At 38.0% G+C, this 24315-nt stretch overlaps 1 protein-coding gene across 3 annotated transcripts in view; it reads right to left on the reverse strand.

Annotated features, from left to right (window-relative positions):
* Positions 1–15773, reverse strand: part of CALCR (calcitonin receptor) — a 150239-nt gene extending 134466 nt beyond the window's left edge. For 2 of the 3 annotated variants that reach the window (NM_001742.4, NM_001164737.3), the window contains exons 1-2: positions 15741–15773; positions 15338–15555 (exon numbers count right to left, since the gene is read on the reverse strand). The gene's annotated coding sequence lies outside the window, so the exon portion shown is untranslated. Of the gene's footprint in view, positions 1–569; positions 860–15337; positions 15556–15740 lie in introns of those variants that run through there. The other variant, NM_001164738.2, reaches the window with a different exon arrangement.

Consider the following 24315-nt stretch of genomic DNA (forward strand, 5'->3'; position numbering starts at 1 on the left):
GCCCTTTGGGTGATTCAATTGCTGATTAAAGTGAGAAAATCACCACTTGAGTGCAGCAAGGAGAGCAGTGTGTTGGGATGACATGGGAGGTTTAAAAATCTGTCAAATAACAACAACAAAAAAAATTCTTGTCCCTGTCATCAACTTCCATGTCATGAGGATAAAAGGGAAGTTTGAAAAATTATTTGAGAAAATATGGTAAGACTGGCAGCAAATTGTAACTTTAAAAATTAGTAGGCACATTAGGCAAGCTTCTACCACACCTCTTTCTTACCCAGATTCACACACACAAACCAGGCTGTCCAAAGCACAGTCCTGCTTAATTAGATACTGAGGAGCCAAAACTTTTCCACCCCCTCCCCTCAGTCCCTAAGACACAACACATCAGTTTCCATGATTGCTGTTCAGCAGAACCAGGCCAATCTGGTTTTTTGCAGCTTGCCTATTAAAAAGTGACTTTCACACCCTCCTGGGTTATGTACCAAGACCTTTGCCCTTTTGTGGCTTAGCAGAATGATTTATTTGTGTCATTAGTCAATCTATTATTTCATCCAAAATATTTCCATTACCTGAAATAAACTGCAGTCCCAATGATGAAAGCTGTGTCTCTCCTCACTTTTAGCAGTGGTGGTCAGTTGCTGGCAAGATACTCAGGTACTTAAAACTTTTTTTTTTTTTAATATTTCTACTCATTACTTTTAATGGAGCAAAGCTAATCTTCTTTGAAGAAATATTTCGGTCTTTGACCATAAATATTTTCAAGCCATTTTCATAAATTGCGGGCAGCAAAAGAGATTCTAAACATTATCTCCCACCCACTCTCTCATACTTCTCACTGGTATTCCTGTCTCTTATAACTCAACTTCCCTTTGGAGATTGGGACTTTGTTGTCCTTTCTGTCTGGTGGCTTACATAACATGTAATAATCTCTCTGCTGCAAATTTCCACCCTAAATCACAGGAAGATATGAAACTTAATAACTGTTAAATCTTTTAAGTTTGTGATACTCATTCTCACAACACAGTGTATATTCAGTATTTACTTGTCTCTGAATATATTAGAAACAGCTATTTAAAATCCAACTCTCTGATGAGCTCAAAACAAGAGATGGGACCCTAATGAGTATGTTACAGTAAGAGAAAAACAAAGCCCTCTGAAAGAAAGGAAAAGAAACTGTTTTTCCTTCCTCATTTTCTCCCTTTGAGGACTGAACTATGTCATACTTCTGCTTTCTCTTTAAAAAGACAGAAACTCTTTATTCTTTAGAATTATGATGAAAATAAAGCTTTTTACTAAGGAATCAGTGACACACCCACTTTTTCTAATATTCCATTGACAATTAAAACAATGCTCTACCCTAGAGAGATGACGTCACTCTCTAGGTAATTTAAACCAAAAACAAAATAAACATAAATAAGCACACTGACTATTGGTATCTATAATTTTGAAAAATATATCTGCTGGTATGCACCTATTATACAATGAGGTATCTTTTACAGATACCTTCAAATTTTACCTTCCCCTTAAACTGGTGACCTTCAGCCACGGCCTCCTTTATGCACTGTAGGATCCTACTTTTCAGATCATCTGAAAATCTTTACAATTTTAATTTATACTATTTGTTCTAATACAACTTTTATTGGCTTGATATGTACAATGAATCATTTTAAATTTTATTTGATTTTTCTACTGAAAAGTTTATTTGCTGTGACCATGTGGACAAAGACACATATCTACAGAATGGTGGAGGCACATTTAAATCAGTGGCATTTCTCAGCTTCTAACCATTACTAAAATTGTGGTGTGGGATAGTGAAGATAAAGTTTGGGATGCATATAGAATTGTGGGTGAGGGATAACCAAAAGAAGCTTGGGGGATGCAGATAGAATTTGTCTCAAGCTCCAACTTCATCACTTAACCCGATGAACTACTTTAACTCATGCTTTAATCTGAGTTGTAGTTTTCTCAATTGTAAAATGAGGATCATAATCATTACAACAATAGATAGCAGTTATTGACTGCTATATGCCTTGTGCCATGACCAAATTTTTTCCTACATTATTTACAATCCACGAAATAATCCTTTAAGATAGAAACAATTCCTTCCTAAAAGGAAACTGAGGCTAAGAGAGGCTGAATAATACAAATAAGAAGTATATCCTGTTGTATTTCCTTTCTGTTACAGTAGCACTGTGTCACGGAGTGTTGGGTGCAGATCAAATGAGATGCTGAATGTGTAAGCACTTAGTAGGTTGCATGCACATGACTCAGTCAAAGTTTAAGTGTTTTGTATCTGAACAGTGCTATTCTATAAAAATATATTCACACACTAATAACATCATTTTTTTTCAAGTGTAGCCTGCATCCTTGAAAATTCTTTAAAAACCATAAAATGCTACTGCCTAGCATAAGGCTTAATCTTGGACACTCTTACAGAAGTTGCTTTGGGTACCACCCTTCATTCCCTAATAGCATTTTTGCTTTTTCAAAAGAGCCCAGATTTTAAAATTTTCCAGATAAATAAATACAATTCCTTTTCCAGTGTGAGGCAGGGGACATAGGGTTAAGAAATTTATAATTGTTAATTAAAAGAGTTTAAAAAAATACTATCATCAACTATCACCATCATTAGATAAAAAGGAGGGATATTTTTGATCCAGAAGGGAAAGGATATAATCCCAGAACAAAGTGTGATTCTTTAAATTGAACATACTTAATGGTAAGAAAAACTCTTAAAATTATCTTCTATCTTTTTATTTTGCTGCCAGACAGTGAAACCCTGAAACCCTGTCGTGGATCAGCATGGATCATTAGACCAGATTTGAGAAACACTGTTTTAGATTAAAAGCTGTGTGAGACCCTGAAAAATCACAGGCTGTTCAGCAAACAGGCCCTGGGTAAAAATGTGTGCTCTGCCTTCAGTAGGAGTACAGGACGGTGATTCAGACCGTGAGCTCTGTAGTTAGGTATTTTAGGTTTAAATCCTGCCTCTGCTTCTGGTTATACGATCTCTATGTCTCTAAGCCTCATCATTTCCTGGAGTTAAAATGGGTATAACAATAAATCATGTAAGTCTCATAATAATATGATTATTATGAGAATTAAATGGAATGATTCATCCAAGAATCTTTATATTAAGCCTTCAATAAATGTTAGTTTTAAATTTAACTTAACACTATTATTAGTAATAATAGTAATTATTTTTATTCTTATTTCTTATGATTATTAATTTATTTAGCTTCTTTGATTTTCAGTCTTCGTATCTGTAAATTGGAGAGATAAAGTACCTAGTTTTCAGAGTTGCTGTGGAGCCTAAATGAGGTAATGCATGTTTGTACATAGCTTGGCATGTATCAACAAGCCTGATAATAGTGTTAAAAGCAAAACATATGCGTGATTTTCACTTAAAGACTGAGCAATATCTATTCAGGAGCTCTACTTAACAAGTATTATAAAAAGGAACAACAACAACAACAACAACAACAACAAAAAACAATGAAGACATTATAATTAATAAAACACCTCCAGCTTGGATATGAGTAAGATGAGTATGATGGTAAGACCAGACATACTTGCTTTCTTTCCTGCATAAGCTTATATTTTCAGGTGTCCTGGACAACTCAAGGAATCACCCATGGTGCATTTATCTCCCACACCTGTTGCCCACTAGTCATCATTGTGATTATATCTGGAACCCAACCCTTTCTTTTATTTAATGTGGGGCAAAATCTGGCCAGCTGGAAGATTCTGGACAGTGATGGAGTAAAACAAATAGATAAAATCAGCCTGCATTACTATAATCTTGGCTCTTCAATAAAGAATATCCTAACAATTTTCTAATTCATGGGGAAATTGGATAATCTAATGTAAGCAGTTAAGGTTTGAGATCAATATTCTTTCTTTTATTATTTTTAAAATGAGCTGGAGCAATGAAAGGGAAAAAGCTTTGGACTAAAGCATGTTCAAATATAGAACGTATGAAAAATTTAAAAACGGTAAATAAAAGAGCTAAAATTACATTAGAAAAGAAAATAACCTCAAATATGGTAAATAAATTTAAAAATATCAGAAATAGTAAATAAAAGTCACTTGCAAAAGGCTGTGTAGCCTGAACATGGAAGTACACACAAAGTTTCCTTTCAGTATCAGAACAAATCCCTCCCGTTGCACAAGTACACAGAGTGCCAAGGTAGTCATCATATAGGGAAATGAGACCATTTAGAACACATGGAAAAGAGTTGCCATGCTCCAAAATAGATCTTGGAAAGTTTATCATTTCCAAGTGAGTGAATAGGAAACTTGACTATTTTTAGCCTAATTAAAATTCAATGTATTTTTTACTTGCCATTTTTAGACCACTCTTTTTCTCTCCACATCATTAAAACCATACATACCATGGGTTTCTGACTAATTTTCATGTAAGTAATCAATGTATGGTTTTGAAATTCTATTTAGAGCCATGTTTTGCTAAGAGTTGTATTTTGCATTTTGTTAGTAGAAATCACACCTTTAAAAGAGTAAAGCAGATTAGGTTTTTGCATTTGACTCTAATTTTTATGAATGAGATGTCAACCTGGCAAAGCACAATTTCCCTTTTGTGTAAATCACAATGCAGAGTGGAATACTATAAGCCTGAGTACATCCCATGACAGCTGTAGAGGTTAATATTTAGAATAAATAAGAAAAATCGCTATTTAATTCTCTTTACTTTCTACCCATGGATCTGCTGCTCAAAGGCACACAAAATGCAAAACTGAAAGACATTTTATATCCTAACGACAGAGCTTTGGCTGTCATGCATTTATAACGAGCACACTTCCCTTTTCTGATTTACTTACATACTGGAGCTAGACCTCCTTGGTTCATTTCCGAATCCATCATATTAGCTGTGTGTTCTTCAGTAGGATACTTACCTCTCTGTTCTTCAGTTTCCTTATGAGTAAGAGTGTGAAATAGTACCTACCTTAGAGGGTGGCTGCGAAATTTAAATACCTTAAAATCGATAAAAGGCATAGAAAATTACTGGCTCATAGTAAGTACTATGTGTTAGCTATTATTACCATTATTGTTATTATTGAAATATTTCAATGTCTATTTCATATCCCAGTTTTCTTGAAAGTTTTCACAACCTACTTTTTTTTTAGAAAGTAGAAATTACACATTTCTGGGAATCTGGGTTTGATCAAAGTTTCACACTTGTCTCTGTTTAGATTATATTCCAATCAGTGCCAACACTATCATTTAATTTCCGAGAATCTACCAGAAAGAGAGCACTTTGGGAACCAAGTGGTGAATGTGTGGGGGGGGACAGAGTGCTGGTGGGCAGGTCAGATGGAAGGTTGTTGGAGTGGTCCAAGTGATAGATGACACTGGTCTGGCTACCTTAGAGGCAGTGGATATTAAGCTTTTAACATGCTTAAGTTTAGTATAAAGCTTCTTCAAGGTTGGGAATAAAGACTCAAACACATTTGATCAAAGAACACATCATTAACATTGATACTACACTTTTAAAAAAAAAAAAATGGAGTTTTGCTCTTGTTGCCCAGGATGGAGTGCAATGGCACTATCTCGGCTCACTGCAACCTCTGCCTCCCGGGTTCAAGCGATTCTCCTGCCTCAGCCTCCCAAGTAGCTGGGATTACAGGCGCACACCACTACCCTCAGCTAATTTTTTGTATTTTTAGTAGAGACGGGGTTTCGCTATGTTGGCCAGGCTGGCCTTGAATTCCTGACCTCAGGTGATCCACCTGCCTCAGCCTCCCAAAATACTGGGATTACAGGAGTGGGCCACCACACCCAGCCAATTTTTTTTTTTTTCCTGAAGGTAGCCCGTGTTTACTTCACTGTCATACTTTGCAGAAAGCAGGCGTTGTAGGAATAGGGCAAAATAAAAGTAATTAATTTTGAAGTAGGGACAAAGGGAGTTTAGAGAGATATTGTGGAAAGACTCAAACAGTGAGGCTTTTCCTTAGGAAGGCTGGCTTCTAGAATAAATGAGAATACTATATGAATGGTAGGTGCGGGACAAACTAGCAGAAGGGGAGGGGACATGAGAGACAAGTTCTGCCTCTTATACAATGTAATGCAGAGCCACTCTTATTCATGTGTTTAACTGTCTTTGAGGTCATCTATAAGTACATTAATGCACATATTTTTCTGCATTTGCTAATGGCTCCCTGCAACTTTGCAGTTCCTTTAGGGAGAGCACTAGATGTGGAGTCAGAAGGCTGGAGTTTTCATGGCAGAACTATTACCTCCTGGTTGGAAAATATGTCATCTCTGCTATGGTCTCCTCTTTAATGAATGCACTGGGCTCCTGAATAATACTAAGGGTAAAATATTAGTTATCAAGAAGATATATAGCATTACTTCAAATGCTAGAGATGCCTCTTTAACAAATTAAAATGCAGACCATAACTTCCAGTTTTGATATTTGTGGACTCCACATTGCTACTCTTCAAATATGCCCAGATATTAATATTTTAGTAGCTGAGAAGAAATGCTAAGTTTCTCATTGACCTTGTATTCACTAAAATAACACATCTAATTTGAAGAATATATATTTTCCTCATGGGATGCAATACAATTGTTTTCATTTTGAATAGGAAAAGAAGCCACCCAGTAAATTTTTATTTTTTTCTAAATTGGCCCTCGAGCAAGGATCATTCACCACTTTGCTGGGATTTTGCCTTAGTGCCACCTTTGCAGTCTATGTGATGTTAGTAATGAAAAAGTGGTCTAATACCCTGACCTTTCAGTCCTGTAGAAGGCCCAGTGAAGAAGGTGCTAAAGCAATTTGCATTATTATGTACCCTGTGCCATGAACTTCTGTGAATCTTGGGCGAAAGAAATTCCATTCCAATGTCCATAAACACCAATGTTTTCTATGATACATCCTCATACTTGAAAGAATTCTATCTGTCAGACTTAAGGTTAGAAACAAATAATTATGCTGGAAGTTGGGTTAATTAATGGATGAGTCAAGTCAATTTAAAATTTAAATTTGGCAGCAGTACAATTTTCCTTTCTTTTTCCCTTGTTGCCTGCATTGACTTTATGAACACCTCACTAGAGAGGAAATCTCAAAAAGCAAAGCTTTTCTTTAAAAATTATTATTATTAAAGAGATTTTTTTCCTATAATACAATAAATATAATTTTCATATTTATTAAGAGCTGACACCAAACTAAAATCCATTTGCAATTAAATTTACTTGATGTCTGCCTACTTAATAGACAGATTTGGGACAGACAATAAAAACCTATGAAATCCTAGAAGAACTATATCACATTTCACTTTTTTTTTCTGTGCAGTAATGTTATGTTTGTATACTTAGCTATCTGGAATGTAAACTTAATATGAAGTGTGATCCTGAACTATTCCAGGTTATACCAAAAGGCTGGAATTTGGTTATAGGTATAGTCACAGTTCCGGTGGCCTGATTGAGTTGGAGAGCTGAGTTTAAAGCCTATAAGAGATCGGCTGAAATATCCATTGAGAGAGGCTCCTAATTCTGTTACTTACAGGCTCTGATCATCTAAGACAATTAATATACCAATTATATTAAAATAAAGAAACGTCTAAGTCGCCTTCAAAATTCCATTTGAGTACAGCAGCAGAGAGAGCATAGTCTTTTGGTTTTAGGCGAACTTAGGTTTGAGTTCCAGCTCTGCCACTCAGAGATGTATGAACCTTGCTGGGTCCCTGTAAGTTTTCTGCCCTATTTCCTTACCTGTAGAATGGGCTTGATAATATACCATATGATTGTCTCAGGAAGTCACTGAGTATCATTGTATCCTGCACACAGTAAGGGCTCAATGAATAGTAGCTGTTTTTTGTTTTTGTTTTTGTTTTCTATTTTTAGTTATACCTGGGAAATCTAGGAGGTATTAATATTAACTTGCGGAAAATCAGCTATTCAAACAATTTAGGATTAATTGCTTTCAGGGCTTGGATCCACATTAGGAAAATGAGAAGGAAAAATGTTTAGTTTAGTTTTGTTTTTCTTGCCTATAAGAGGTATAAATACCACCTAAGTAGCTCCAGCCTAGTGCAAGAAGCAGAGGAGAAATAGAGGTATGACTTTGTGATTAAGAGGGCAGAGGGCTGTTGGGAAACAGTTCTGCATGATTAAACTGAATGCTATGTTCTGAATATGTGTGCTATGTTTTAAATGCTCACTAAAGAAAACCAACTCAAACCCAAAATAGAAGAATGGATGTTAAGAATATGAATGAATTATTGGTTTGGAGGAAGTACTACAGATGAATAGCTGAAAGCTCTGGGGAAACAGCTAGTTGATAACTTAAAACAAGAAAACTTTAAGCCTCAGTGTGCAGGAGAAATAAAAAACACTTTATTTATGGACACATTTAGGGAAGTCTTAACTAATTTCTCTAAGAGAAGAGAGGGTCTCCTGGATGTGCTGGGACAAAGAAATAATGATGACCCTGTCTTTTGTAATCTGATAGAGAAATAAGAAAATAATACAAAAGGGAGATTAAACCACCATAAAACAAGTATAAAATGTTATAATTTGTGATTCAAAAATTGCTATATTTGGCCTGAAAAATTTATCTATGCAAATTTTTTTTATAAAAAGTTTTTTTTTTAATTATACTTTAAGTTCTAGGGTACACGTGCACAACGTGCAGGTTTGTTACATAGGTATACATGTGCCATGTTGGTTTGCTGCACTCATCAACTCGTCATTTACATTAGGTATTTCTTCTGATGCTATCCCTCCCCCAGCCCCCTGCCCCCCAACAGGCCCCAGTGTGTGATGTTCCCTGCCCTGTGTCCAAGTGTTCTCATTGTTCAATTCCCACCTATGAGTGAGAACATGCCACTGTCCTTGTGATAGTTTGCTGAGAATGATGGTTTCCAGCTTCATCCATGTCCCTGCAAAGGACATGAACTCATCCTGCTCTATGCAACTTTTAAGTACACAAACAGTCTGGAAAATATTTGGTATATGCAGAAATCCTAGAATTTCCAGATCATTATTATTGAGGGCAGGGGCTTATAAACTCATTTTTCTCCCCATACACTATCATAATAAAGAGATTAAGAAAATTATTTCAATGAATGCATGGCAACAGAGAAAAATACTTTACATACTACATGGGTATTTAATATATACCTATATATTCATACACATGCAAACGCACACAGCTCACATGCATGGGACCTCTGGAAACTCTAAAACAAGGGATATCAATCATGATGTGATATGACATCTTTGTTGGGGGGATTAAACGCTGTCCAGGAAAGGCTAAAAAGAAGGAAGCAGCATGTAAGTTAAGCTTTAGGAGACTGCACCTTTCAAAAAGGGAAAATAAAGTAAGGCAGGCGTCTCAAACTGATTGAAATTATTGTGTACAATCAGTGTCTCCATTTCCTCATTTCACATTTATTTCTCAACCCACACCCAACTCACGACTAAAATTGCTCTCAATTAAATGCAATTGCGAGCTCTCAATCCTTATCCCACTTGATCTACTGGTAACATCCCGCATGAGTGCTCGCTTTCTCCTCCCTGGTTTCCATAAAATTACTTTCTCTCTCTCTCTCTCTCTCTCTCTCTCTCTCTCTCTCTCTCTCTCTGTCTCTCTCCTGTAGTCTTTCATCTCTGTCTTTTTTTTGCAGGATTGTTTTCCATTTCCCTTTAAATATTGGTGCTTTCCAGGATTCTAAGATGTTTTACTTTTCTTTTAATTTTCTACCTTTAATTTTTTCCTCTATGTTTTCTTTCTTTATTCCCTGTTTTTACTTCTCCAGAGATAATATGCTTTATTCCTATGCTGTCAGCTGAAATAGATTCACTATGTCTCTTAAATTTATATTTCTAGTACCAAATTCTCTCTTGAGGCACTAATTTCTATATGCACTTCTACTTAACATCATCACATGGATGAGCCAAAGACATTATTTTTTTTTCCTCCAAATTCAACTATTTATCTTGCCTGTCCAAAATACTCCTTGTCCCGACTTGGTGAATGACATCACATCTCTCTTATTATCCATGAAAGAGGCCTGGAATTCATCATACAATTTTTCTCTTTCATCTCACCTCTAATTTCTATCGTTCACCAAATCCTACAAAATCTACCTTTAAAATAATTTCGTTTTTTTTTCTTTTCTGTCTCCAACAAGGAGGCCCTAATTGATTCTTCCCTCTGTCACTGCAGTAAGGCTGCGTGTGTCCAGTTAATCTGTATCCATCCTTTTTTTCAATCTAATATGCCTCTTATTTTCCACCAGAGAGATCTACCAAAATGGCAAATCTGATTATTTCAGTAACCTATATTAACTCCTTCAAGGACCCCCCACTATCTTCCTGATAAAATGCAAACCCTTTAGTATGGTAGGCATGCAAGCTTCTTTGTGTATAATCTGTGTCCTTTAACCCTGCTGGGGCAACAAAAATACCTGTGGTTTCCCCAAGTCACCATGTTGTTTCAAGCCACAATCTGGTGTCCTGCCTGTAACACTTCATTTCTTCCCCTCTTTATCTAGCTCATTCTGTTCTGTCATTTCAATGCTGAATCATATGCCCTTTAGGGTAACCTCCCTAGAAAATTTCCCTGATGTCCGGGCTGGTTGTCCGGCTAGGCACCCTCATGGCATTTCTCTATTGGAATACATACCACAGGGCTGTATAATGTTTGTTGGTTTGTCTGTCTTTTCCATTCCCCATGAAATCAGGATCTGTAATCTGTCACAATATCCCCTGACTAGGACATAATAGGCACTTAGTACATATTTATTCAGTTTTAAAATATGAGCAAAGCTATAGGATGGAAATTTGTTAGATGTGTTATGGGAGAATGATTAATACATTTTAAGGATGAAGGAAGGTAAGATTTGAAATGTTGAATTCTGAACCACCGGACAAATAAAGGGCAGGGAGTGAGACTAGGGTTGCAGCGAGACATGAAAACCAAAGAAAAGCAGCTCTACAATGGAACCATTGATGTAAAGGGACACACACACACACACACACACACACACACACACTTCAATTTTGAGGCAGAAGAATATAGACTGAGGTTGACATGCAAGGGCACAGGGTTAAAAGTGAAGAATGGACTCCAAATCAGGAGTCAATTTTTCTGGTGTAACTACAGCTTCAGAACTAAAATTAAGGAGCTGTTGAGGTTTTCTACCTGACTTGGATAGGAAAGCTAAACTAGGATTATACCATGAAACATCTTAAATACCAGGCTGAAGAGGGGTTCTAAGTCTTGCAGTCCTTGGACCATTACTGAATAATTATGAACAGAGGGGGAGAAATTAAAGATTAGAAAACAAGTCTAACCATGTTCTATAACACTGAAGTTAGCACATAGAAACTTAATGTGACTGAATATTAGGAGAATAAATATTTTATTAATGATAATAAAAACTTAAACTAGAGGTGTGGCAGCGATACTTAGAGGAAGAAAAATGTAGCATCCATGGGAAAAACTGGAGGTAGTCTGAGACTTGATAAGAGAGAGGAAAGACATAAATTTTACTGAAATAGTTAAACATAAATTTTAGTGAAATGGAATAGTTAAATATTTCACTGAACCAGGTACTTTACTTCTTTGAGAAATAACTCCTTGAGTTTAGATTATCTGTGTTATTCTGGTACAAAGAATACCAATTTATATGCTATTTTTAAAAAATAAACAGGGACTTTAATTTTTAACAAAGACAGAATCTTATACCTCAGGTATCCACTGGTACCCTGGAGGTACCAGGCAGCTGTGCAGAGCTGCAGGCATAGACTAGGAAGTGCTGCCAGCTTCAATGAGGTATATGTTGCCTTGCCAACTTGTATTAGGGACATTTTTCTGTATCCTGTGATCCACTCTTTCTTCCCTGAAACATTTTTTTTCTTAAAAACAAAACCAAAACTACATTCTAATCAGACAAAACTGTTTTTGAAAAGCCAATTCAAGAAAATTACTGTTAGAAGTATTGAGGAACAGATACTGATAACATTTTTTCTACTGATTATTCTCCAATGTTCTATCTTCATGATTCACTTTTAATATAAAATTTTAAAGATCTCAAACCTCTCTATATTGCTGGTTTTCTAAATGTATAAGGGAAGCCAGAAACATATGTTAATATGATTTTCTGTGTTTTGATACTAGAATTGAAAACAAGTTAGTATCATTATGAAAACACAAAATCTTATCACTTGGTTTTATAACACTCATTATATGAAGCTCTGGAAGATCACATTCACATGGAAAAGCACACAGTTGTCAAGAAATGATGCTTTTAATTAAGTAAAAGATCTATACCTGATTGGGATGATTACTTATGTTCTTGTCATTCTCTACTAGACACGACATCCTTGAGGATAGGGATATGACTTATTTGTCTATGTATCTTCAGGCTTAGTGCAATGCTTGGCATATAACAATAAAAATTTTTTTGAATGAATGACATTTAAAAAAATATAACACATAGAACTTACCATGTACCAGACACCTACCCAAATGCTTTACAAATATTAACTCATTTAATTCTTATTCTACAAAGAAAATTAAGGCACCGAGAAGTTACATTATGTGCCCAAATCACACAGATAGAAAGTTATGGAATCAGAAGTCAAACTCAAGCAGAGCTGTGCCAGAATTTGTACTCTTAACTTATATTATCTCTAAATAAATGCTGCTGTTAAGTTGTAAAAAATACAAATATGTAAATAAATATATAATGTAATCCATCATTGAACTTAAAAAGACCTGGGTTCAAATATATTTTTAATTTACTTGGTTCGTGGCTTTGAGCGAGTTCATTAATCTAATGGGTCCTCAATTTCCTCATACATAAAATAATGATAATAGCTTGTAACTCACAAGGCTACTCTTAGCTTAAAACATATTTTTTGTAAAAGTACTAGATTATCATTGGCACCGGGTATATGGTAGTTAGTGTGCCAAGGGGAATGATGCTATTTTCCTCTTTCTCCTCTTTCAAAAGGGTACGTATTTGTACTTTACACAGTATACAGGTCTTAAGCAAAAGGAGATGAAATTGTATGTTTCATCAAGTATTATTTTCAACATCTCTTAAAGCTGGAGTTCATTTACTAAAACATTTTCTGGATGGGCAGATCAATTTCAAACTCAATAGCTTGTTTTCTGGATAAAAAATGTTTTTCCGAGAAGCTGTTACGGTCTAAATATCTAACATCAAATATTAAAATATTTTTCTTCTAATTGTAAGATCAAGTTATACATATATATGTATGTTTATACATATATGTTTCTTTTTTTTAAAGAAAAAACTATTTGACCAGCGATATAACAAACAACATTTATTTTTATCAAAAGCCTCCCACATCAATGAGTTCTACCAAGTCTGGTGGAAACCCTCTTGGTCAGTGGCTCTCAATCCTGGTTGCATATTACAATCACCTAAAGAAATACATCAAATTGCAGACCCTTTCCACAGATATTCTGATTTGATTGAATTGGGGTAAGGCTGAGCATCCGTATTTTTTGAAAGTTCTCCTATTAACCCTAATTTGCAGCCCGAGTTGAGAATACTGATTTAGATTATCATTGAAACCATTACCGGTCTCCTATTTCCATTTCACTAGGACTCTAATAAAAACCAACAGTAGATAATATTTCCATTCATGTTAACATTGACAGAGTCTGAGAGGTTCATCAAGAACAGAATTGCCATGGCACAACTAAACTAATAGTTAGCTCCCTTTCTTCAACTGATTAGAGCAAATGCTCTCCATCCACCATCAATCATTACCTCCAGTTTCAAAATGAGAAACAGAAGACGTATTTATATCAGCTATTTCTTTTTAACTTTGAGAATCATGAAACAAAACAACTCCAAGATTATCTATGTGTTCTTATAAACTGGTTATAATGAAGATTTCTTGTTTACTTATTGTGTTGATGTAGCCAATGAATAAACTTAGAACATTTTATAATATGACCAGATATTATTCTTGGGCTATAGTTCATAAAATAAACTACAGGTTAGAGGCATTGAACCAGAACAAATCCTGGCTGATGGATGTTTTGAGTTATGTTAAAATATTGAGTAGAAATGAGTATCCACTGAGAATACCAACTTAAACTGTAAAGGTTTTACAAATCTAATCATCTTAGTTTCTCTCATAATACTGGTGTATAACCAGCAATCTCAACTTTTTAAAGCTGAGTTATTTTACTACTGAACTCATAGGCTAGCAATATCCTATTAGAAATTACACTTTATAAATTCCATAATACTAAAAGCATTCCTACTTTGTCCTTAATGGTAAGTCAACTGGCCCAAATACATAAAATATTTGCTTTCTATGATCATTTAAGACAGACTTAAACTCGGACGCTCTGTAATTTAAAGATTAGCTTTAAGAACTACATTGTAAAACTTTGACTTATTTTGAACATTTCACCTTCAATCACCGAATAATTTCAACAAATAGCCTTACATAGATAACTTGATTCCGGTTAACCACAGCCTGGAAATAGTCAGGGTCTCCTTAAGATCGGCAAGTGAAACCCTGCGTTCTCTTCTTGCATATGTCACATAGTATTAGGTTAAAGCTTTCATATGAAACTTTTCTTAGGTAGATTTGCCAAATAAAGTCTGTATGATAGTTTACTAATCTCAATTGTATTGTTGATTTTTGACTTGGACCTCAAGGAAAATGAATGTTTTGAGAAAAGGAATTAATTTGTTACAGCTTTTCTTGATGTCTTTCACCCAGGCTTGGGAAGAGCATCATGAAAAAGAGTACTCTTTTGGAAACTATGCACACAACATATTTTTCCTAATAGGTGTGAAGAATGGCTGCTATGCATAAATGATTGTTGGAAAACTATTCTCTGTAAAACATGACTTAACAAGCAACTCCATTCACTACTGTGCTCATTTCCAATATCCAGAACAACCATGACACATCTTATAGATGCTGATATTATATGTTTGTCAGTTAATAAACACCCTTTGGGAAAATTCACAACTTTAACCTCCGTAATTTTCCTACCCAATAAGTTGGAGAATAAAACTTTTGAGGGAAAATTGATATGAACAACATAGTAAAAGTCACAAGAAATCAAACGATTCTTCAATACGAAACCATAAGTTGTTGGCTCTTCCCAGGACACCTATTTTTCTTTTTTCTTTGACAAGGGTAAAGTAAAGCATCTAAGACCTAGCTGACCCTACATGAGAACCACAAGCACCGCAATCAAACCACATTTCTATAATCAAAAAGCAAGGTGCCTATAGCACCTGCACTGTTAAACATCCCTTGGACACCCCAAATCGTTAAGTCCCGCTCATTTCCAAACGCTCCTTACCTGGAATTCTGTCACTGGGCGGCTGGGCACAGCTCAATAGAAGCAAAGGGTGTTCGCAGGTGTGGCTCCAGGGACTCAGGCGCTCAAGCTTCAGCGCCCATCTCCTGGGCAGGAGATGTCAGCCGCAGGGTGAGGTGCGGACGTGCGCACTTCTCCAACCCGGGAAGGTCCGCCAGCCGCGCGGCGCAGCCCACCCAGACGCTGGTGGGCTGGCTTTCCTAGTTTGATGCGAGAGCAAACTGCGTTAGTCTCAGTCCTCCCTCTCCGCCCCTCTCCTGGTTTTCTGACACTTTAAATCTGTCTTAGGTGGTTCAGACCCAAGTCTAGGTTGTATTATCAGCTAAAAGACAACTGTTCTTTCCCCTGGCTTGCTTTCTACCTCCCCAGAGTCCAGGAGGCTCACCTTCCCGGCGCCTTCCTGCGCTCTCCCAGCTGTGAAGCTGTGCGCAAACTTCTCCTGACTTAAGAGTCTCAATCCTAGCCTGCGCTCCCGCCCCACCCCCGCCCGCCTCCCGACAGGCGGCAGAGGAGGTGGCAGCAGAATTGATGAGAGCCAGCCCCCCTTCCCGGACCCCGCCACCCCAGTCAGCCCCCTCCTGTCCCAGGAGAGGGAGGGGCGAGCTGGTGAGCTCCGTGCGCCTCGCGCCAGCCCCAGTCGCCCCGGCCCGCGAGTGGGGCTGCGCTCGCGGCTGCTGTCTCGCTCCAGTCAGGGCTGGGGCTCACCCTGCGAGTCCGGGAGACTAAAGCGCCGCGTAAACACAGGAAGCAGGCGAGGGACCCGAGTTAGACCTTGAGTAGGGAGGGAGAGGGGGGCGACAGTCTGGACTGGGAGACAGCTTTCTGGGAGCCCTGTCCCCTCCCCGGAGAATGCAAATTCCGGAGGGAGGTGAGTTTCCACAAGAACCTTATCCCAGAGACATTGTGACCCTGGCTTCTTCAGCCGCCACTCCGGGGACAGCACTAGGGAGCCTGTGGAGGGAGGGTCGGTAGTGGGCTAGGTAGTGAAAGTGGGGTGAGGACGTGGGAAGACGGCTGGCTAAGAGCTGGGGTGCTAAAAGGAAAAAAGTGCTGAGAGGAAGGAGATGAGAAGAGACACCTTGGGGGTCAGGCAAGCCCTGGGAAAGCGTCCGGAGTTGGGCGGCTGTAGGCTGGAGGCATAACTTGGATTTGGAGAAAGAGTGCCCTCCGTGTAGGGGACTGCTGGTGGGCACAGTGTTTTAGGGTGAATGAAAACAGAGAGGATGGCGAGGGAAGACGGGGATATGGGGTGCCTGACTTGGTGCCGGACACTGCGACTCCTCTTCTTTCCCCCTAAAGCCCTCGATGTCAGCAGGAGTCCGGGACAATCCAATACCAGGCGGGGCGCAGCGGAGGCTGGCAGGCACGCCCTGGGAGGCAGGCAAGTTGATTCCAAGGACGAGTCACCCTCAACCTCTTTTAGCCCACAACTGGGTGGATCAAGGCAGGAGCCAACACTTTTTTCCCTAACTCTGTTTAGGCGGTGTTGGACTAAGAAAACAGCATCCGGTGCGTCCCGGGACCACAAGGTGGCCGTGCACCGTCGAGGTTACTAAACACTGTCTCCTTGGCAAAAGAAATAATAGCAATCATTTAATGGGAGGGGAAGAAAGCCAGACGGCGACAGCACACTTTCCCTGGTGATCTTAGGTTCTCATAAGCACACGGGACAACACCGGGTGACAGAGAAGGAGGTGTCCTGTGAATGGAACTGCAGCCCTCACCCAACCATCCTTGGAGCTCTTCCATGGAAACATCAGTGACTGTAGGCAAAAAATGTCCCCGTTTTATTTTGCATGCTCCTGTTTTATTTTGAATCCTCATACCCCACCCCAGAGAGACAACAGGGACCCCTAATTTGTGTGGTTGAGGCTTTCAGGAGATCCAGTGGAGGACAGACTCAAGGATCAGATCAGCTCTCCCACCCAACATTCCAGGGATTTTGTTTTTCCAGGCTCCCTCCTCTATATACTCCCCCCTTCCCTGTCACCTCCAGTCTGGTGACCCAGAGGGCTGTGTGTGACTCACTGTGCATTCAAACCCTAAGGCACTGCCTCACTGCAGAGGAAGATTGTACAGTCCCTTCATTCCCAGGATAAGTGAGAATGATGTTGTTAGCAGTAAGAAATGTGACTAGGAAAGGAGGCTGGGCAACTGGGAGACAAGGAGGCTTTGAAAGGAACATACACACACACACACACACACACACACACACACACACACACACACACACACACACACACACAGACACAGTAACTTAAACAAAGCCTGTATAAGAAACCCTTCCGAATTCAGAACTTAGATAGGAATCTTCACTCCGTGCTGGGTTGGGCTCAATCTGTCTTGAGTTCAATAGCTCCCTGCTTTCCAACTGCTCCTGACCAGCCAACACTTGACCATGACCTCCTTTAAGAATTCTCTTTTGGAATATTAATTACCTTCTTTTGGTGCAAACAGCAGAGAAATATTAAAGTTGTTTGAGAGTCTCCTATGGTCAACTGCTGGGGCCAAACATTGAGAATTTCTCAGGTTGTAGCCCAAGTCACTGAAATAACAATGATTCAGGGAGACTATTGCTGAGTAGAAAGTGTTGCCGCCCTCGGCATTGTGTGATAGAACAAGTACAAGGAGATTTTTCCGCTGGAGGTTAAATCCTAGGGCAGCCTACCTGATATTGATAACCAGTATTCTGAGAGCAGGATGGGCTTGATTCTATAAATCTAATGAATATATGTGGGATGCAGCCCTTAACCATAATGTAAACAAAGTCTAAAAGTTATTGAGAAAAATGGCATGGGTGTATCATAAAACTTTAAACTGTTTGTGGTCTAAGCATAAGCAACCTCAGCTGATTAAAGTGTGAACTGTGTTAGATACAATATTGGGGGAAACAATGAGAGTTCTCTGTAGGCAGAATATTTCAGGGAAGGTGACACAGCAGAAGCAAGATCAGGGATGAAGCTCTCTTGTCCCCTAAGAAGATTAAATTGACTTTGTCAGTAACAGATATTTATTGAACACCAAAGGGGTTATGTACCTGTTGGAAACACTTGGATTTTACAGAAATTTAAGTCTACTGCTTTCTTAATATTATCACAGTATTTCCTACATGGACACAGTGTGGTAAGTTTTTGGAGGGTGGATGTTAACATGGGGATGGTCTGATAAGGGGAATTGGCATTGTTTTGAAAATGTTATGAGACCCATTACTGGATCTTGAAATCAAGTTAGTGGGCATAAGTAACATTTAAAAAATGAAGTGGAATAGGATAGAAAATATCAGAGTTCATCGCCATTTGAAAGCACAAGAGTGGTTTCTTGAAACTTGTCTTATTTCTCTCTCTCTCTCTATCTCTGTGTATGAAATTGCAAAGTAAAATGTATTTCTTTCTGTAGATCACAAAAATACCTAAAGACACTGGGTTAGAATAAGCTATTCTTCAAGTGGAATACCTTATATTTGCAAATAAGCTTTCAAATGAAATTAGTTCATCAAAGGGGCATTCATAAAATAAGCATCTTAAAATGTGGTAGTCACACATTCCTGGTACTTTTATTGATTATTTATTTTAAAATCCCCTGTCTTTATGATACTTTGCCCCTTTCTCTCTGTCCCTCTTCCTCTTTAGAAAATTTCCCCTTTGGACAGTTACTAATTTAGGGAGAAGTATTCTGTGGATCTTGTCTACAGACTTTTCAATGCAAACTCCACTTCAATTATGAAACCCTCCATCTACATTGCTGAGGGTGTGAAGTTCTGCCACTAGCAAAGGATTATCTGACCTCTCAACTCTGTCTTTCCAAGCAAGGTTTGCCAGAGTTTGAACCATACATACCACTTTCTGGACACTTATGGTTCGAGAATTCAGTGACTTTTCCTTAAAAATCACTAAAGTTTTGAATTTCAGTGAATGGAGGGAAGATTGCCCATTATTAAAGACTAGCTCTATTAATACCTATTCCTGTTAAATATGGTTAATGTGAGGGAGGTCACACTTTGTAGAGACTGAAAAAAGTCATTTAGTTCTTCTTGGAAAAAAATTGTTGTAAGGTTAAATAGAGTTTATTCTTTTTTTAACAGGAATTTAGAGAAAAAATTTCTGGACTCTCTCAGGAATCCAATGGTTAACTTGAATAGCTCCCTATCAGCAAAGTTTTCCTTACATTGAAATCCAGCTCAATCCGTTATGCTTATGTGTTGGTAATTTAGTACATATTTAACACCACATAATTTCACAACACCCTTGGCTAGCCGCTTATGGGGGACCCAAAAAGCACAATATGCAGCTCCTACCCTCAAGAAGCCCACAGTCTATTCAAGAACATTTGTTTCTTCCTCTTGTAGTCTCCTTCCAAATAGACAACAGCTGGTAATTATTCTTTATATAATTACTCTTCCTAGATTTACAGGCCTCACCATGACAGGGCAAATAATAATTTGCCTTAGTGAAAAATAAATGTTTTCCTTTGAAAACAATTCGAACTTTGACCTGATAAATCATGCTCTCTTGAAGGAAGTGTCCTGCTTCGATTTTCCACCTGTCTTTCAGAAACAGGAGCTGGGGTACTTGTAAGTCTCTCTTCTCTCCTCATCTTTCCAAGGGTGTGACACGGCTGTGTTTCTCTAGAGAACGTGTCTTTTGGCATGGAAAAAACAAATTCCACTTGAACTAGGAAGTGTCTTTCCAGATTGTACTTACATAAACTTCACTTTGGTTAACTGTTAACTTAATGTGTAAATAACTCAGAGTAGGAGGAGATGGCAGGGACTTACACCATAAAGCAGCAGTGGAAACTAATTGCTCCATCTCTGATGAAGTTCAGAAATATCCATTTCTTATATTTTAAATAAAATTCTAAAGGGAAACCCAGGAGCCAGAAAAAATACTGCAGAAGCAAATGTACGCAGACATTCATTCATTAATTCATTCAACAAATAATGAAAAATTGCGGCCTCAAAGCTTATATTCTAGTGGGAAGAGGGAGATAGGTAACAAACAAAATAAGAAGTAAATTGTTAATTTCAGATACTGACAATGTTAAAATATCATTAACAGGGAACTGAGAGGCAGGCATGGGGTAATGCTATTCTAGGATAGCCAGGAAAAGCTCTATTTGAGCTGAGATGTAAATGAGAAGCCAGTCATCATGAGTTCCATAGTAAAATTCTCATAAAGTGCTGGTTCACCTCCCTTTAAATAAAAATAAATAACATTTGGGTCAGGAATCTACTCTTTTGGGATTGTGATATTGTGTGTGTGTGTATGCACACGTGTGTCTTTGTAAAACGCTCTTTGTAATTTATTCCTATTTAGTCAGTGCTCAGGAATCTAGGAGATGAGAGGCATGAGATAGGTAATGATAATTTTTCTGTACTTCTGTGTTGGTCTACATAAAGTTGAATTAGGAAAGAACCCTCACATGGCACTAACTTTATAGCTTAGATTGTCTCAGGATATGTTTGCAACATGCTAAAATGCAAAGAAATATGGAACTTACCCCAGACCTAAAGCAAAACTTGTCTTTAATGGCTACAAGTCTTACTTTTCTGTTTTCTGATTACAAATCAACAGTTCTATTAATTTTGCCTTACTGAACATCTACTATGTGCTGAGCATTTTATTAAGCATCTTAATGCATTTTCTTATTTTAACTCTATGAGGTAGGCACAATTATTATTTTGCATTGTACAGATGCAAAGACAGCACAGTAAATGATTTGACAAAGGATTCAAGATTCTAACACAGGCAGTCTAACATATATATTAATACATATTCAGCTAATCCTTGTTCAGTTACTAACAGATGTAAGTCTACTTATAGGTAAAAAATAGCCAGGCATAAGATTATTTTACTAGGCAATTCTATACGTATTCACATATTTTTAAATGACAACCAAACACAAATCTTTCAAACAAATAATTTCCAATTCAGTCACAAACTGAACACCTAGCCATCTGAATAGCAGAGAGTTTTGTCTTTTCACCTGAGTATAGGCTAATGGAGAAGGCAAGCCATTTAGACAATTAATAAATAAAATTCAAACATCTGCAGCAGAAGTATTTCCCAGTGCCCTGGGAGCTCAAAACGGAGGGGATTAATTCTGCCGGGAAGATATTTGCTTTTACTAGTTATCGTCTCTCTGAAATCTAATACACCAGCACTAACAGATTCTGGTGTGAGTGAGTGTTAGGAACACAGAGCTACACATGCTCCAGAAATGGACTTTTCCTTTTTTACTATAAGAGGTGACATTTAAAATTACATAGTAAATATATGTGAATGAAATTGTGTAACAGTGGAATATGTTGAACACCCAACTTTTCTTTGGATATTGCACTTAAACGTTTATCACAGATTCTTTCCACTCCATAGTTCAAACAGAAATGTTATTTGGGTGACAATTTGCATGGCTGGGGCATTTATTGCATAGAAAAGAAAATGAAATCAGTACAAAACACTGAGAAAAGATACTTTTAAGGCAAAAGAAAAACAGGAAGTTTAACAACCCAATTGCTAAATTGGAGGCCGAAAACATATGAAAATGTTGCAGAATTTGGGATCTGCTGTCCCATCAACACCAGTCCTGGCTGGCAGGAGAAGAAGGAAAGAGAGAACACAGCGATTAAGTTTAAGCCCTTAAAGGCTATGAAATCAGATGAGCTGCTCTACTTTTTGTAGGCTTCTCTAATTTTCAAAAATCCTATGATTCTAAATGACTGAAGAATAGGCCCATGATAGGCATTTATAAATACTTCAGAAATTAAGTTTAATTGCATATATTACTCAGAAAGGAAGACGATGAGGGTGCACAAATGTTTCAAAGATAGAAACTGAAAAGAGAAAAGGAATCTTTCACCATAAAGAGAAAGAAATGACCAGGAACGAGGGAAGGGTTGGAGAGCAGAAAGGAAGTGGAAGAGATGCTGTATTTTATCCCTGGGGTGATTCTTAAACTCCCCTGGTCACTGAGGTTGTCATTCTTAAAAGTTGATTACAAAGCACTAAATTGATTACAGATTACTATATATATTGTGGGGAAGGAAGTGAAAATCATATCTTCAGAAGCTCACTAACTGCCTCTATCACTTTAGCTTCAGCTTTTACCAGCTTTCTCTTCTCTACTTCAAAGGGGGGCAGCATTTTCCCATGTCCTCTGTATTCCTGCTCTATTTAAAGAATGTTTTCTCTCTGTTATTGTTTCTTTCAAATATCTCTTCATATTTTACGTTGTCATTTAACCCTTTCTGATATTCTTTTCCCATATACTCAAAATCTGTCCTCATACTTGATGCAGCCTGCCTTCACCCTTCTAAAAAATACCTGTTTTCTTTTTTATTACTCAGTGATGAGCCACCTAGATTCTCAGCTTTTTGAAAGCAGCTCTATAGTAAAATATTATTTAAAAGGAAATATTTTTATCTTTATCATGAGTCTGAGTTGAAATCTTCATAAAAATGGCCAAACCAAAATCACCCACTGTGATATGCAGAATGATAGATTTGGTTAAGGGATTTAGGGTGATGTTTTAATGTGCTGCAGATGACCTAGGGATCTTGCTAAAATGCAGATTCTGATTTTCATGTCAAGAGTGGGGCCTGAGATTCCGCATTTCTAATGAGCTGTCATGCTGGTGAAATGTTCATGGGTCGTCTTTTAAGTAACAAGGCTTTAGAATCATTCCCTGCAAATATGCATATCATCTTTTAAACTTTATTCTTTTAAAATTTGGAAATATACTTTAGTCTATAAAATACGTTACTGCATGACTATGGAAAGTAGGACTAATTCTGGTTTTCTTTCTCTCAGAAATATCTTCTCAACTATCTGTACTGGGAATATGGTGGACATGTACTGGGACATTCCATGTACTGGGAGAGAGGTGGACATGCCCCTTGCGATGTATGAAGTTGGGAAATAAATTAATTTGTGGGGGATTTTATGGGTGTGCTTTATTTTTCCTGGAAGGAGATTTGATTTTAAAAGAACTAATATCCCTGAGAGACAGAAGGGAGTATTGGTGGTGGAGATGGTTGGCATTAGTGGTGAGATTGGTGGTACTGGTGCACAGGTGGTAATGTTGATGGTGGTGGTGGTAGTAATGGAAAAAGTGGTGTGGTGGTGATGGTGGTTGTGGTGTTAGTTATGGTGATGGTGGTGGTGCAATGGTGGCAGTGGAGATGGTTGTGGTGCTGGCAGCAATGGCAGTACTGGTAGTGGAAGTAGTGATGATTTGATGGTGATTGTTCCTAGTAAGATAGTGATGGTGGTGGTCGTGCAGTTGTTCTGGTATTGCTGTTGGTGGGATGATGACAGTGGTGGTAGCAGACATAATGGTAGCAGTGGTGGTGATAGTGATAGTGATGAAGCTGCAGGTGGTAGTATTGATGTTTGTGGTGATTTGATGGTGCTGGTGGTAGTCATGCTGATAGTCATGGTAGGGGTAATAGTGTTGGAGACTGTGGTTGTACTAATCATAAAGTAATGGTGGTAGTGCTAATGGTTGTGATGGTGGCAGTGATTCTTGAGATGTGGGTAGAGGTGGTAGTTGTGGCATTAGTGGTAGTGATAGTGGTATTATCAATTTACACTAAATAATAGAGCAGATGGGTTTTCAATCCTGCTGTGAGTCATCTCCCATTTTTCTATACTTTGGCAAATTGTTTGTCTCTGAGCCTCAGTTTTCTCATCTAAAAAAATACTGCTAAAAATTCTGAGGTGGGGCCTGGTGTGGTGGCTCACGCCTGTAATCCCAGCACTTTGTGTGGCCAAGGCAAGTGGATGACCTGAGGTTAGGAGTTCGAGACAAGCCTAGCCAACATGGCGAAACTCTTTCTCTACTAAAAATACAAAAAGTAACTGGGCGTGGTGGCGCATACCTGTAATCCCAGCTACTCAGGAGGCTGAAGCAGGAGGATCGCTTGAGCCCACGAAGGCGAAGTTGTAGTGAGCTGAGATCGT

The sequence above is a fragment of the Homo sapiens genome, chromosome 7 (genome assembly GCF_000001405.40).
Source record: "Homo sapiens chromosome 7, GRCh38.p14 Primary Assembly".
NCBI lineage: Eukaryota > Metazoa > Chordata > Mammalia > Primates > Hominidae > Homo > Homo sapiens.